General features: G+C 36.4%; 1 protein-coding gene across 4 annotated transcripts in view, besides 1 other annotated feature; it reads left to right on the top strand.

Annotated features, from left to right (window-relative positions):
• Positions 1-16,204, top strand: part of AGPS (alkylglycerone phosphate synthase) — a 151,062-nt gene that overhangs the window by 35,615 nt on the left and 99,243 nt on the right. For all 4 annotated transcript variants that reach the window (NM_003659.4, XM_047446105.1, XM_011512041.3 and 1 more), the window contains exons 3-7: positions 5,940-6,030; positions 8,377-8,497; positions 8,593-8,667; positions 12,578-12,649; positions 14,020-14,099. In NM_003659.4, coding sequence (NP_003650.1) covers positions 5,940-6,030; positions 8,377-8,497; positions 8,593-8,667; positions 12,578-12,649; positions 14,020-14,099 — 439 coding nt within the window. The remainder of the gene's footprint in view (positions 1-5,939; positions 6,031-8,376; positions 8,498-8,592; positions 8,668-12,577; positions 12,650-14,019; positions 14,100-16,204) is intronic.
• Positions 3,100-3,300: a silencer, noted in NCBI's record as "peak3947 fragment used in MPRA reporter construct". NCBI's record gives its function as "represses an SCP1 promoter by STARR-seq MPRAs in K562 erythroleukemia cells {active_cell/tissue: K562}" and the evidence as "EXISTENCE:reporter gene assay evidence [ECO:0000049][PMID:32103011]".

Here is a 16,204-nt window from a genome sequence, read left to right on the forward strand (position 1 = left end):
ACTTGTTTATGTGGTTGCTTCATAGTGTCACTGGTCTGTGTACTTCAGTGTGTTTTTATAGTGGCTGGTAACCATTTTTCTTTTTCATATTTAGTGCTTTCTTCAGGAGCTCTTGCAAGGCAGGCCTGGTGGTGATGAATTCCCTCAGCATTTGCTTGTCTGGAAAGGATCTTCTTCTTCGCTTATGAAGCTTAGTTTGGCTGGATATGAAATTCTAGGTTGAAAATTCTTTTCTTTAAGAATGTTGAATATTGGCCCCCAATCTCTTCTGGCCTGTAGGGTTTTTGCTGAGAGGTCTGCTGTTAGTCTGATGGGTTTCCCTTTGTAGGTGACCTGGCCTTTCTCTCTGGCTACCCATAACATTTTTTCTCTCTTTTCAACCTTTGAGAATCTGATGATTATGTGTCTTGGGGTTGATCTCATGGAGTATCTTACTGGGGTTCTCTGGACTTCCTGCATTTGAATGTTGGCCTGTCTTGCTAGGTTGGGGAAGTTCTCCTGGATTATATTCTGAAGTATGTTTTCCAACTTGGTTCCATTCTCTCCATCTCTTTCGGGTACCCCAATCAGTCATAGGTTCAGTCTTTTTTACATAGTCCCACATTTCTCAGAGGTTTTGTTCATTTCTTTTCATTCTTTTTTCTCTATTCTTGTCTGCCTTGAAGACTATAGTCTTCAAGCTTTGAGATTCTTTCCTCCACTTGGTCTATTCTGCTATTGATACTTGTGATTGCATTGTGAATTTCTTGTGTTGTGTTTTTCAGCTGCATCAGATTAGTTATGCTCCTCTCTAAACTGGCTCTTCTGGTTTTCAGCTCCTGTATTGTTTTATCATGATTCTTAGCTTTTTTGCATTGGGTTAGAGCATGTTCCTTTAGCTCAGCGAAGTTCGTTATTACCCACCATCTGAAGCCTACTTCTGTGATTTCAACCATCTCAGCCTTAGCCCAGTTCTCTGCCCTTGCTGGAGAGGTATTGTGGTCATTTGGAGGAGAAGAGGCCCTCTGGCTTTTTGAGTTTTCAGTATTTTTGCATTGATTCTTTCTCATCTTTGTGGGATTATCTAGCTTCAATTTTTTGAGGTTGCTGACCTTTGAGTGGGATTTTTGTGTGGTCTTTTTTTTGATGCTGTTGTTGTTGCTTTCTGTTTGTTTGTTTTTCTTTTAACAGGCCACTTTTTCGTAGGGCTGCTGTGGTTTGTTTGGGGATTGCTCGTGACCCTATTTGCCTCATTTTTCCCAGACCTGGAGGTATCACCAGTGGAGGCTGTGAAACAGCAAAGATGGCAGCCTGCTTTTTCCTCTGGGAGCTCCGTCCCAGGGTGGGTAGTGACCTGTTGCTGGCCTGGATGCTCCCATAGGGTGTCTGGAGACCCCTGTTGGGAGCTCTGACACAGTCAGGAGGAACAGGATGGCTGGGTTTTGGTGGAGCAGCTGTGCCATGTTGGGGATAACCCTTTCATGTCCAGACTGCCTGGACTCTTCAGAGCCAGCAGGCTGGAAAGGCTGAGTCAACTGAACTGCAGAGACATCGGCTGTGTCTCCCCCAAGGGGCTCTGTCCCAGGGAGAGATCAGAGTTCTGTCTGTGTCACCCTGTCTGGAGTTGCTGAAATTCCCACAGGGAGTCCCCACCCAATGAGGAGCAATGGATTGGGGTCCCACTTAAAAAAAAGCAGTCTGGCCACAATCTGGCATAGCAGCTGTGTTGCATTGTGTGGGATTCCTTCTCATTCAGACCACCTGGACTGCCTGGAGCTGGCAGGCTAGAACAGCTGAGTCAACCTAACCACAGAAATGGTGGTTGCTCCTCCTTCAGGGAACTCATCCATCTCAGGCAGTCTCCAGATTGTTGCACTGGCTGGCTGGAATTCCAAGCCAGTGGGTCTTAACTTGTGAGGTGCTGTGGAAGTGTGGCCTGCAGAACAATGTTGCTTGGATCCCTGGATTCAGTCCCCCTCCTAGGGGAGTGAGCAGATGGATCTTCCACCTTGCTGGGATTCCTAGGGTGGAGTCTGTAAAACTCCTGGGTTACTGTGCGAGCCTGAGTGACTGTTCTTTTGAGACACGGCTCTGTGTATTGAACCCAAGGCCCTGGTGGTGTGGGGTCATGAGGGGATCTCCTGATCCACAGGTTACAAATATGGAGTGGGAGAAGTGTGGTTTCCCTGGTGGGGTTGCACAATCTCTCACTGCTCTGCTTGGCTGGGGGTGGGGGTTCTTTTGGCTCCATGCTTCTCCCACTTGGATCATCACCCCACCCTCCTTTTCTTTGTTCTCCATGGGTCCAGCTGTCTGCCTAGTCAGTCCTGATGTGAGAACGTGGATATTTTAGTTGAAGGTGCTGAATTCAGTTGCTATTTTCATTCTTCTCCATGACAGCTGCGGATCACAGCTGCTTCTAATCAGCCATCTCAGTCCCTATAGATTTCTATAAACTAAAATTTTTGAAAAATGTCACTATTTTTGACTTTATGGGTATTATACATTAGTTTGGTACTTAGAAATCACAAGTTAGTATATAAATGAAAAATTTGAGTTTGTTAGACTTTGTCTTTTTGATGGCATAATTTTTAATTGAAGCTTTATCTGATTATAAAAAGGCTGTTAAATTGCTTAGCAATTGTGGAACTCACCCTGAGGCTAGATGATTGTATATACTTATCAGGGGAACCCACCCCCAGTATTTCAACATAGGTTCTATTTTCCCTAAGTGTCGGCTGGTCTGAGAAATAAACAGAAAGAGTACAAAGAGAGGAATTTTACAGCTGGGCCGCCGGGGGTGATACCACATTATCGGTAGGTCCATAATGCCCCCTGAGCTACAAAACCAGCAAGTTTTTATTAGGGATTTCAAAAGGGGAGGGGGTGTACAAACAGGGAGTAGGTCACAAAGATCACATGCTTCAAAGGGCAATAAAGATCACAAGGCAAAGGGCAAAGTAAAGATCACAAGGCAAAGGGCAAAATTAGAATGACTGATGAGGGTCTGTGTTCGGCTGTGCACGTATTGTCTTGATAAACATCTTAAACAACAGAAAACAGGGTTCGAGAGCAGAGAACCGGTCTGACCTCAAATTTACCAGAGCGGGATCTTTTCCCCACCCTAATAAGCCAGAGGGTAATGCAGGAGAACAGGGCGTAATTTCAGTCCTTATCTCAACTGCATGAGACAGACACTTCCAGAGCAGCTGTTTATAGACGTCCCCCCAGGAATGCATTCCCTCCCCAGGGTATTAATTATTAATATTCCTTGCTGGGAAAATAATTCAGCGATATCTCTCCTGCTTTCACGTCCTTTTATAGGCTCTCTGCAAGAAGAAAAATATGGCTCTATTGTGCCTGACCCCGCAGGCAGTCAGACCTTTGGTTGTGTTCCCTTGTTCCTTAAAATTGCTGTTATTCTGTTCGTTTTCAAGGTGCTCTGATTTCATATTGTTCAAACACACATGTTTTACAGTCAATTTGTACAATAGTGGTCCTGAGGTGACCTACATTCTCAGCTTATGAAGATAACAGGATTAAGAGATTAAAGGCAGGCATAAGAAATTATAAGAGTATTAATTTTGGGAACTGATAAATGACCATGAAATCTTCACAATTTGTGTTCCTCTGCCATGGCTCCAGCCGGTCCCTCTGTTCGGGGTCCCTGACTTCCCACAACATATACTAATATTTTTGCTGCTTCTTATGTGCTGCCCCAGAGTGAGAGTCACTTTGCTTTTAGTCATTGTCAGTCCTGATGTGCACTTCCCTCTTGGATAATTTTTGTCCACAGAATTTTTTCTTTCCATGTAGAATGATTTCATTGGCCTTGAAAACTTGTTCTGGTTCTGTATCTTCTATAATATAGTCTATTTCAGCCCTATGGGAAAGTGATAAATTGATCTCACCTTATATTTTACAACAAAAGCCATTTAATATTCTCAAACTAATCTTCAGTCATGGAAAAGAAGAAGATCCATTCAGTAGTCACTGTGATTCAACAATTGGTATAAGTGCTTAACTTTCCCTTTATCACATCTCTGGTTAAAGTTTCATGTTCTCTGCCCATGTGTTCATCTCACAAATTAAATGTTGCTGTAGCTTTGACTAAGCTAGGTTGCAAGTTTCTTAAAAACAGGAGTCATAATACCAATTCCATGTATTCTGCAATGCTAAGTACAGTCTTCTGAGTGTTAAATAAATATTGTGCATTCAGATATAGAGATATAAAGACTTTATTTTAGTGATAGAAGGTAGTTTTAAATTTTATACATGATAGTAACACTAACTCTGTATCTGTAGTTTCAAGTATCTTGAAGGTGGTCACCTTTTTATTTTATGGGAATACCTGAGACTGGGTAATTAATAAAGAATAGAGGTTTATTTGGCTCATGGTTCTGTAGGCTGTGCAAGAAACATGGCATCAGGGTCTGCTTCTGGTGAGGACCTCAAGCTGCTTCCAGTCCTGCAGAAGGGGAAGGGGAGCTGGTATGTGCTGAGATCACATGGTGAAACTGAAAGCAAGAGAGAGATGGTAGGGAGGTGCCAGGCTCTTTTTAAACAACCAGCTCTTGAGGGAACTAACAACTCACTCACACTTCTCTCCCTTCCCCCAGGGCATTAATCTATTCATAAAGATATACGTCCATGACCCAACCACCTCCCACTAGGGGATCAAATTTCAACATGAGGTCTGGAGGGTTTGGTGTCCAAACTACAGGACTCCTTTAAGAGAGTGAAAGGATAAATCACAGAGTAAGAGAAAATGTCTAATATGTGTATCTTTCATTTTATAAATATATAAAGATTTCTTACATGTAATTGAGAAAACAATAACCCAGGAGGAAAATGAGCAAAAGACTTGAACTGGCTTTCAAAATGGAGGATATCCAAATGGACAATAGTTATAGGAATAGATGCTCAATTTCATAAGTACTCAGTAAAATTCAAATTAAAATTGTAATGAGATGCCAATGGAATGTCTCAGATTCAATTATAGAATTTCTGTTGTGTTCTTTTTTATAGTTTTTTATTTCTCTGCTAAGATTTTTTTTCTAATATTCACCAGGAGTACATTTTCCATTTTGTCCATTGGCGTAGCAACAATAGCTGCTTTAAAACCCTTGTGTGCTACTTCCAGTATCTTGGGTCATTTTGGGGTCAGTCATCATTAATTGTCCTTTTTCTTGAATATGAGTCATACTTTCCAGTTTGTTCTTGTCTAGTAATATTGGAGTGTGTTTTGGACATTGTACATGATATGATGTAGGAGCTGTGGATTCTGTTATATTCCTCTGAAGAGACCTTTAAAAGACTTTTTTTTTCTTAAATCAAGCAATTAACTTGACTGATCTGAAACTCTAAATTCTGTCTCCCTGTGGTGAGCAGCTGAATTGCCTGTCCAGTTTTTTTTTAAGCTTAACTGGGCTGCCTAGAAGATTCCAGTATGTATTCTATACATGCTATTCAGAGTCAGCCAGACATTTGGAGAGAGCTGATAGATTGGTTCCTCTCTTACTTGCTTCTTTCTGTGATTTCTCGGTATGCTTTCCAGATGCAGCATTCACCCCAAACACTGTGCTCTGGTTCTTTAAGCCAGGAAGACTGTAAATTTTCAGCATTTTTATTACCTTTTGAGGCACCAGCTGGGGCCTGCCATAAGGCTAAAACTTATGGAAAAAACAAAACCAAACTGGAAACTTATGAACTTATGTAGTATTTTTTCCTTTTTTCAAGTGTAGCACACCCTTCTCCCCTATTTTTGACTGCTTTTGGTCTGTCTATACTGCCTTTAGATAGCTGGGTTTTGTTTGTTTTGTTTTCGTTCAGAGTTTATAGTTACATGTGAAAGTGTTGGTTTGATAGTAGCTGCTTGACCATCACTGGAAGCAGAATTTAAGCTTTAAATTTAAATGAAGATACTTTGCTCTAATATTTTTACTTTCTTTGTACCTTAGGTACCCTCTTAGTGGCATGGGTTTACCAACATTTAAAGAATGGATCCAAAATACCCTTGGAGTAAATGTGGAGCATAAAACTACCTCTAAAGTAAGCAAACAAAAATTATTACTAACTCATTTAACTGTGTTTTTAAAACCCAAATTAATTTGATTTATCTTTGTAATTCATTATATTGGATTTACTGCAACTGTCATGTTTTTTGTTATAAAGCCTATTAATTATATTGGCCTTGTTAGACTGTTAGCGGCAGTTATTCATTGTCACAGATATAGACCTTAGTCTCAGAATTTATTTGAGATTTATCTGGCAAACTTTTTATCCTCTCTGAGCCTTGGTTATTTTTAGAATTGGGAGTAATAACTATTTGTTCTGCCTATCACAGGGTAGTAGTGAAGTGCAGATTATTTACTTCCTTAAAGAGTGCTTTGTTACAGAAATATAAGTTGCTATCATGTTTAGATTATTTAATAGACTGACTGTAATCTAGGATTAATAGAGAATAATTTAAAATAAAAATGTAAAATCACATTTAGTATTAGGATATTTAGAATATTTGAAGAATTATAAAAAGTAAAAATTTGATTAAGATATGAGTGATTGAGGATTTTAGTTTGTTCATGTAGTTTCACTTTTCTGAAAGTGGGATTAGGAAACTTTAAACTGTAGGTATATATATATATATATATATATATATGTATGAAACTAATGAAATATTTAGCGTTTCTTTTTATTATTTTTGTTGTGTTTTTATTATTGTTGCATTTCTTTTTATTATTTTTGATGTGTTTTTATTATTATTTTGCTGTAGCATAGTATTCTGTATGTCTCTCTAACTGGATATAAGTTCCATAAGTACAGGGCTATGTCTTATACAATATTCTCCACTGTATCCAACTTGTTGTTAAGTGGTATAGGTATTTGGTGAGTACTTGTTGGGTTTATTTAAAAATCCACAGTTATTTTACTCTAGTTATTAAGTTAGGCTGAACAACTAATTCTACCCCTTCCAAGCCATCTTTTAACTTTTCCTAGACGTCTCTTATCTCTTAAATTCTCTCTCTCTTTTGATCTCTTGACTATTTGCAATTACTTGTTTTTGACATTGATACAATCCACATACTATAGTTAGAAATTTCACCAGGTTTTGAGCCCTTTTCAATTCTTAATGACTTAAAATATTAATATATTTTGTTGGAGTTCTTTTAGTATTTCCTTCTCCTATGGGATAAATTGCACAGGGTCAAAATTTTTTTTTCTGTTTAACTCACTGTTGTATCAAGACCTTGAAGAGTGGCTAGCTTATAGCAGCCACTCAGTAAGTATTTATTATGCAGTATCTTAATAAGAGATTAAGATAATATGCAAGTATCATATTTGTTCTTTGCATATTCTTATATACTTTCTTTTTTCCAAATACTGTATGATAGCTTCCCTCAATCCCCCGTAGCAGATTTTACTTGGCCAGCCGTTTATAGACTTCTTCCTATATTCTAGCCATGCTATTAGGTGCTTTTCACAAAAATTATCACATTTAACCTGCCTTCCTTATAGTAGCACTATGGTGACAATGTCATTTAACAGATGAAGAAGCCAAGGCTCACAGAAGTTGGGTGACATGCCCAATGTCTCATAGTTTTAACTTTGAAGTTGAAGATTAGATTTCAAGTTACCTGTTAGGTGAAATTGAATATCAAGTTTATAATTATGTTGTGAGTTTTAAAGCAGCTCTATAAAAATGGATTTATTACTTATTTTGAGGCTTTCTGTTGATCACTTTAAAATGGCAATTGAAGAATAAGAAATGCTGAATTTTTTTTTTTTTTTTTTTGCGACAGAGTCTCGCTCTGTCTCCCAGAGCTCTGTCGCTCTGGAGTGCCGTGGTACAATCTCGGCTCACTGCAAGCTCTGCCTCCCGGGTTCATGCCATTCTCCTGCCTCAGCCTCCCAAGTAGCTGGGACTACAGGCGCCCGCCACCACGCCCGGCTAATTTTTGTATTTTTAGTAGAGGCGAGGTTTCACCATGTTAGCCAGGATGGTCTCAATCTCCTGACCTCGTGATCTGCCCTTCTTGGCCTCCGAAAGTGCTGGGATTACAGGCGTGAGCCACTGCACCCGGCCAGAAATGCTAAATTTTATCGACAGGTATAAGTGTAGATAGTGCGAAAGTCAAGTAGCTTTCTCCCAGTCTCCTTAATCTGAAATGGAAGATTTAATACTTTGCTGTCTTCCCTGTTGATTACAATCTTTAGAAATTTGTAATTTGTTACTCTCATAAAGCTGATTTCTATATATGTTGTGTTGTATTTTCCTATGCTTCAGCCTTACTTTGAATGTTTAAAAAAAAGTCTACATTTTATAGTCATTCTCTCTAACTGAAGTACCCAAAATTCGTTGTCTAAAAATAAGTCAAAGAAATCAATTTTATTTTCTAGGCATCCTTAAATCCTAGTGATACACCTCCTTCTGTTGTAAATGAAGATTTTCTTCATGACCTTAAAGAAACTAATATTTCATATTCACAAGAGGCAGATGATCGAGTATTTAGAGCTCATGGTAAGTTACTTTATATTAGCCCTATTTATTTTTAACAAAAAAATTCTATATTTTAAGCTGTTTTTGTGTTTTTCTTTTTTTTAACCACAAAACAGGTCATTGTCTTCATGAGATATTTTTGCTCAGGGAAGGAATGTTTGAGCGAATTCCTGATATAGTTTTATGGCCAAGTAAGTTTTCCCCTCCTCGTATCATTAATTTAGTATTGCTAAATTTTAGGTAAATTTAACATTGGAAATACGTACTTTTTGGCATATGAGTTGTAAAAAATATAAATTGCTGTATTTTTAAGAGAGTTTACATAACAGTCTTGAAGCTCTTTCTTGACTTGGTTGTTCTGAACTATTGGTTTTAACAATTCATTTTGTTGCTGATAATTAAATCATCATTTTAAATGTAAATAATCATATTTGAGATGTCAGTGGAAAAACATATTTTTGGATAATTTGGAAGCTTCATGAAATTAGTGTCAGTAATACATTCAGATATATAGAATTATTAATATAATTGAGTACTGCAAACTAATATTAGTAATAATTTGTTGATATCAGCTTGTGAGCTTTAAAAAGCCTGGTCAAACAAGTTTTATGTATTATGTTTATGCATGCTATGTTTAAAATGAATAATTAAATTTTGAGTAATTATTAGGATTTGGCTGGGACAGGGGATGGATGAGCTTTCTGTTGTAATTTTGCTCTTAGTGAGTAGTAGGTACTATATTTATAAATCTGAAGTTTTTACCTATCTCTTTTAGCAGGTAATTTAAAGCAAGATGGGTATATTGTTCCTTGCTGTCCATTATTGCATTTTTTAAAGAGTTCTATTGATCTTCTGATTCATTTTCTCTTCAGATCTTCCTTTTCAGAGTGTATATTTTATTTTTTAATAAATTGGCTCATTCACGGACTCTCAGTTCTTAAATGAGATCCTTCTACTTTGGAGGGACTGAGAGAAAAATTATACTTTAATGTGGGGGCAAGAGGCAGGTGAGATACACAGAAGGAAAATCCAAGAGCATATGTAGCAGAGATGAAGTTACTTTCCTGATACTTGTATATTAGTCTATGCATTTGGAATATTTATGAAATGTCTTTCATCTCTATTAGTTTAGTATAGAAATTTTAACTGTTCCTGAGGAAAAGATATTCTCCAATAGAAGAAATATTTTTGTTTTGCTTCCTTGCTTTTTAGTAGCTTTAGGTTACTTCTCTACCAAGATTTGGAGAAGGTTTATTCCATTTATTACTGGAAAACATGAAAGCAAAATTTATCAATTTTCACTTCCCACAAGAAACCTAATAGGCCATCCTTTGATGTATCTTAATAAGAACTTCCAAGTGTACCTTCTAGGCATTTTCTTCATGTCTTTCAATATTAAAATACTTAGAGAGTTGGGCTTGGCAGTGCATGCCTGTAGTCCCCGTTACTCAGAATGATGACGCAGGAGGATTACTTGCCTGAAGTTCGAGTCTAGCCTGGACTAGTGAGTCCCTCATGTCTTAAAAAACAAAAACAAAAACAAAAACAGAATAATATAGTGGAAGTATATTTTGCTTTAAGAAATCCAAATATTCTCAAAAACTCAGATGTAGTAAACAATATTTCACAAAAGTTTCTTTGCTTTGTAAAATCCCTCCCATTTTATTGGTTCCCTTGCACCTTTGCTCTTCCACTTTTTTTCATCCCAGTTTCCAAATCAGTTCCTTCTCAGTGTATATCCAGGTTTTTGTGAAGCCATAAGGGTTTTCATGCCGCATGTTTCTTGCCCCTTAAGCCTCCCATACACCGTTGGGAGATTAATTCAATAATCCTTTTGCCAACTTCTTCCATACTTCAAGAATCTGTATGAATGGTGTATTCCTGGCTGAATCAAGTTTATAATTTTATTCTGTTCAATATCCTAGTATAATGACTTCTTTGGAAATAGTTTCCCGACAAGTTATTAAGTCACTGAGGTCTTTATTTAATTTTAATGTGAATTTCCTACTGGCGATGAAGTCCAAGTTTTTCTTTGCAGGAGGCCTAGTTTTGAGACAATGAAGAAATTTGAGGCAATGTGGTATTCCATAGAGTGGATGTGGCTGTCTCATTCTTGCAATACACACACACACACACACACAACTGGAAATCTGTTGTAGTTGTCTTTAAGTCTGGCTTTGATCTGAATCGGAATTCTATGTGTTGCTTAATAGGATGCTTAGGGCTTAAGAGTAAGGACAATTACTTCACTTATTAAATTTAGTATTTATGCATTATTTTCAGTGGCTTAAACACCAGAACTTTAGAACTGTGAAAATACAGGCTAGGTAGTTGAGGATAAGCAGTGAATAAAACAAAAATCCGTGCTCTCAAGTGCCATACAATTTACCGAGGGGAAACAGATAATCCACAAGTAAATATGTAACATATTGGGTAGTGTTAAGTGCTGTAAAGAAAAGAAAAGCATGTAAGAGGGTAGTGCGAACAAGGATGTGTAGTGGAATGGGGGTGCAGTTTCAGATAACATGGTTAAGGAAGGCTTTTGATTAGGTGACATTCCTAGAAGATAATTTTGCCTTGTTGAAGATTTTTTAATAGACATCTTTGGGTGTTTTGTGAATTATTAATTAATGAGTATTCTATTTAGTAAATTTACCACAGATAGCAAGCTTTATAAGTTTAATCCAAAAGCTTGAAAATAGATATTTATTAAAAATCGGAATGAAACAAATGACATGTTTTCTTAGCTTTACACAAACCTTAGAAAAGATAATTGCAACTTTTATGGAACTATTTTTGCTTTCATAAATGGATATTCATTTGCTTTCCTCAGCATTCTTATTTCCTACTAAGTCCTTAGGCTCTTAGCAACTAATACTGGAGTTTTGCATAGTTTTCTTGCCTCAAGTCTCGCTCCTCCATGCCATCTCTTATTATATCAGGAGATTGACTTTTCTAAAACAATCTCTTTGCCATCTTGTTCCCCTCCTTAAGAACCTCCACTAATGTCCTATTGCCAGTCAAGTTGAGTCTTAGCACCTCTTGCTTGGCATTTAAAATCTTCCAGTCAGGTTTTTGTTACTTGTATAACTTTTACAAGCATAAAGAGAACCCTTTAGTTCTGTACAAAGGAAAGGAATTATGTGCAGTGTATTTTGTGCAATATTGTAAACATTTGTTTAAACAATAAATCATCAATGGTGCTAAAATTAGTAGGTGAAAGTATGATGAGAATCATGATATTTTACATAGTCTAAGATATGTAAATACTGTGTCACTAGGTTTTCCCACTATAAGGATACTGTGTTTCTTGTTGAAATTAATAGGTATTTAAATAATAGGTATTTGAACAATTAATACCTATTAATTTTGACAAGAAACAGAGTATCCTTATAGTGGGGAAACCTAGTAACACGGCCTAACCAAATGCTGTATTAATAAGTTAACATTACTGGAAATGAGACATGTTCATATCATGTGCCTCTAGATGTAATGCACTGACAAAGATGCAACATCACTTCTGTGGAATTACTCCCAAAATATATAACCTGAACTTAATCATGAGGAAACATCTACAAACCCAAATTGAGGGGCATTCTATGAAATAACTGACCATTGTTCTTCAAAACTGTCATGGTCATGAAAGTTAAAGATACTCTAAGGAAATGCCTATTTTTAAAGAAGACACAAGGCAACTAAATGCAGGGTGTGATCCTGGAGTTGATTCTGGTCCAGAAAAGAGGACATTAGTAGGACAATTGGAAGTATTTGAATAAGGTCTGTAGATTAGTTTATTGTATTGTATCAGTGTTGATTGCTTGGTTTTGAAATTGGACTGTAGCTACATAAGATGTTAGTATTTGGGGATGTGAGATGAAGGAAAATTTTCGTACTATCTTTGTAACTTTTTTGTAAGTCAAATTATTTCAAAATGAAAAGTTAAAAAGGTAAAGTGTTTTAGTACTCAATTAACTCATTGTGTTAATGAGCAAATGAATGAAGGAAAAGTTTAGATAAAGAATTTCGTAGGTTCTTATTTGCCAAGGTTATCAGATTTTATTTATGCCTCTGTAATTAATTTATTTTCCCTTTTTTCAACAGCATGCCATGATGATGTAGTTAAGATTGTGAATCTAGCTTGCAAATATAATCTTTGTATCATACCAATTGGTGGTAGGTATTGTGCCTTTTGAATTTTAATATGTAAATTTGTTCTATTTAAAATATTTGTATTTTAAATATTTGCGTCACCCTACTGAAAACAAACATTATTGTAATTGTGATGTGGTTATTCTCAAAAATTGGTCAATGATGCTCATTTTTGTTCTAAGTAGGATTCCTTAAACTGTTTGAGACATGGTATACCTTAGTTCATGGCTTTTTCCTCTATGGGCCCTAGTTGAAGCTGTAATTTAATGCCTGAATAACAAAATGTTTCTGCTTTAGTAATTACTTTTTAACCTGTATATTTATGGAGAGAATTTTCTTTTTCAAAAGCTAAATATAAATATGTCCTATATAAACCTTTGAGATTAGCATAGGAATGGTAATAAGACTCCCAACAATTCTAGAAGCTCCATATTCCCTCTTCAGCTGATGCTTTCTGTTGAATTTATGCAAAAAAGGCACTAAAATGCCATTTATTATGAAATATTTTTCTAATTCCAAATGACTGTGACAAGCAAATAGTGGTTACTGATCACAGGCATCACGTTCTTAACCAACAGTTCATGAACTCACTTTGTAAAATTACGCTGAACCTTACAGATTAACACCCCCTGTACTTCTTGTGGAAGGTGACTTTCACATGTTTTCTTTCATGCAGAACTTATGGAAGTATCAGTCAAGAATTTATTCGATATATGGTGATTTAGATCTGGTTAAGAACAGAGAACATTGTTTTGTTCTTTAATGGTATCAAGAAGGCATTTTTCCTTTGACAGTAAATGTTAAGACAACAGTGTGTTTAAATACTTCTATGTATTATTCTATATTAAAATCACTTTTTCACCAAAGAACATATAAATGTTTTTAAATACCTCATAATCTAGACATTTTAAGCTTGTTTCTATTCTAATTTATTAAAGCTTTTTTGTATAAGAATATAAGATTATTTTAAATGATAAATGAATCTCATAATTGTGGTAAAAAGGAAGTAATGATGTCTCTAGTTGTATAGGATGGGTCTTTTTTTCTTTTAAGCTACCTCTCCATGGTAATTATCTGCTTAGAACTTTTCTAATCATGTTTTTGGAGTTCCACAAATTGCTAGGGGCTTCACTTGAGTGTGGCATTTCCAGGGGATGGAACCATAGCCCATTGCTTTCAGTTCCGTAATATTGCTTCATTTTGGCACTCAGCATAAAATAAAGGTGAGTTTGCTTTTAGTGTGTTAGCATTTGCAAGTTGTATTTTGCAAAGTATTAATAGGTATCACTTTTCTAGTGGCCCTATCTGTATACTTGATATGAGGGATTTGCCATAGAAATATAGCTAAAAACAGAATATTTAAACATAAAAGTTGTTGTTTCCTATTTTGGCAGGAGGAACAAGTGTTTCATATGGCCTGATGTGTCCTGCAGATGAGACAAGAACAATTATTTCTTTGGACACTTCACAAATGGTATTTAATAATTTGAGATATATTTAAAACATTTTCTTTATTGGCTCCACCTTAATTGTCATTAAAAAAGAATCTAGCCACTGGGCGCTGTGGCTCACGCTTGTAATCCCAGCACCTGGGGAGGCTGAGGTGGGTGGATCACTTGAGGTCGGGAGTTCGAGACCAGCCAGGCCAACATAGCAAAACCTCATCTCTACTAAAAATACAAAAATTAACCGAGTGTGGTGGTGTGTGCCTGTAATCCCAGCTACTTGGGAGGCTGAGACATAAGACTCGCTTGAACCCAGGAGGTGGAGGTTGCAGTGAGCCAAGATCACACCACTGCACTCCAGCCTGGGTGACAAAAAAAAAAAAAAAAAAAAGAATCTAATATCCATTTTGTTTTAAATGTATTTCATCATTACATTTTACCCTTGTATTCAGTTCTCCAAAAGGTAGGTTTACTTTTACCCTCAGGTATATATGTTGATGGCTATTTTACCAAATTTGAATTTTTTTTTCAAATACCTAAGTAGAGAGAATAGTTTACCCATTTTTTAGATGAAGTCGTTATTAACATTTTGTCATACTTTCTTTATCTTTCTTTTTTTTCTAGTAGTTTTAGAGCAAATTCTGATACAATGCTACTTTACATGTAAATATTTCTGTATAATCTCGTTTAAAAAGGACATTTTCTCACATAACTATTATTATCACTCCTGGCAAAATCAAAAGTAATTCTTTATGTTATTTAGTAGTTAGTCTACATTAAATTTTTGATAAAAAGTGTCTGTTTTATAGTTCATTTGTTCAAATGGGGATCCAGACAAGGCTCACATTTGCTTTCCATTGTAGCTCTTAAGTCTCACTTTATGTAAAAGCTTCATCTTACTCCCTGTTTTTTTCTTTTGAATGTTATAGACTTTTGAAGAAACAAGGTTATTTGTAGTATAGAATGTCATATTTTGAATTTATCTGTTGCTGCTTCTTGTCATTTAACTCTTTATCTAAGCCCTGTATGTCCACTAAATTAGAAGTTCCATATAAAGTCTAGTTAGATTCAGGCATTGCCTTTTTTTGGTTTTGTTTTTACAGCAAGAATCCCTCATAGATGGTAATGTGCTTTTAAAAAAATGTCACATAACATCAATAGAGGTGTGTAGTAGCTGATTGTCTCACTTTTAGTGATGCTAAAATTGATCAAGTTCAGATGGTGAACACTTTATTTTATTGTAAGGTTCCCCATTAACCTATCTCCTTATCCCAGATTTTAAGAAAAGGCAATTTATTTCCTCAGAAGATAGCTGAAGAATAGCCTGTTCTGGAATGTTAACATGGGTTTGGTAGTATATATGGGATGTAATAGGGTAGCCTATATGTTTTCTTTAGGTTTTTCTGTGAGTGCCTATGAAGTTTTTTCTGCTTCTTTTAATTTCCTTTTTCTACCAAAAGATATGTTTGAACTCTTGGTAGCTACAAGGTATATATTTAGAATGAGTATGTAATTGCCTCAAGGGCCAGTCTGTTGGGGGAGAAGATATATATATAAGGTACCATCAGATCAATAAATTCTTTGTCTTTTCATTCTGCAATTTAATAATACTGTCTTTTGTTTAGCTGCCAAAGGACCAAAAGCCTGATTATACCATAGTTGTATTGAAGTTACTGTTGTCAGCCAGGCGTGGTGGCTCACGCCTGTAATCCCAGCACTTTGGGAGGCTGAGGTGGGCAGATCATCTGAGGCCAGGAGTTCTAGACCAGCCTGGCCAATGTGGTGAAACCCTGTCCCTACTAAAAATACAAAAATTAGCCATGTGTGGTGGCGTGTGCCTGTAAACCCAGCTACTCAGGAGGCTGAGGCAGGAGAATTGCTTGAACCCAGGAGGCAGAGGTTGCAGTGAGCCAAGATCATGCCACTGCACTCCAGCCTGGGTGACAGAGCAAGACTCTGTCTCAAAAAAAAAAAAAAAAAAAAGAAAGAAAGAAATTACTACTGTCTTATAGTGAGAGTATAATTATGAGTTTTATGTAACATAAAACTAAAAGTGCATTCACATACATCATCTTATTTAATGTTTTTCACAACGCTGTGAATTAAGCAGTGCAGTTATTTGTATGTGTTCAGA

The sequence above is a fragment of the Homo sapiens genome, chromosome 2 (genome assembly GCF_000001405.40).
Source record: "Homo sapiens chromosome 2, GRCh38.p14 Primary Assembly".
Classification (NCBI taxonomy): Eukaryota; Metazoa; Chordata; class Mammalia; order Primates; family Hominidae; genus Homo; species Homo sapiens.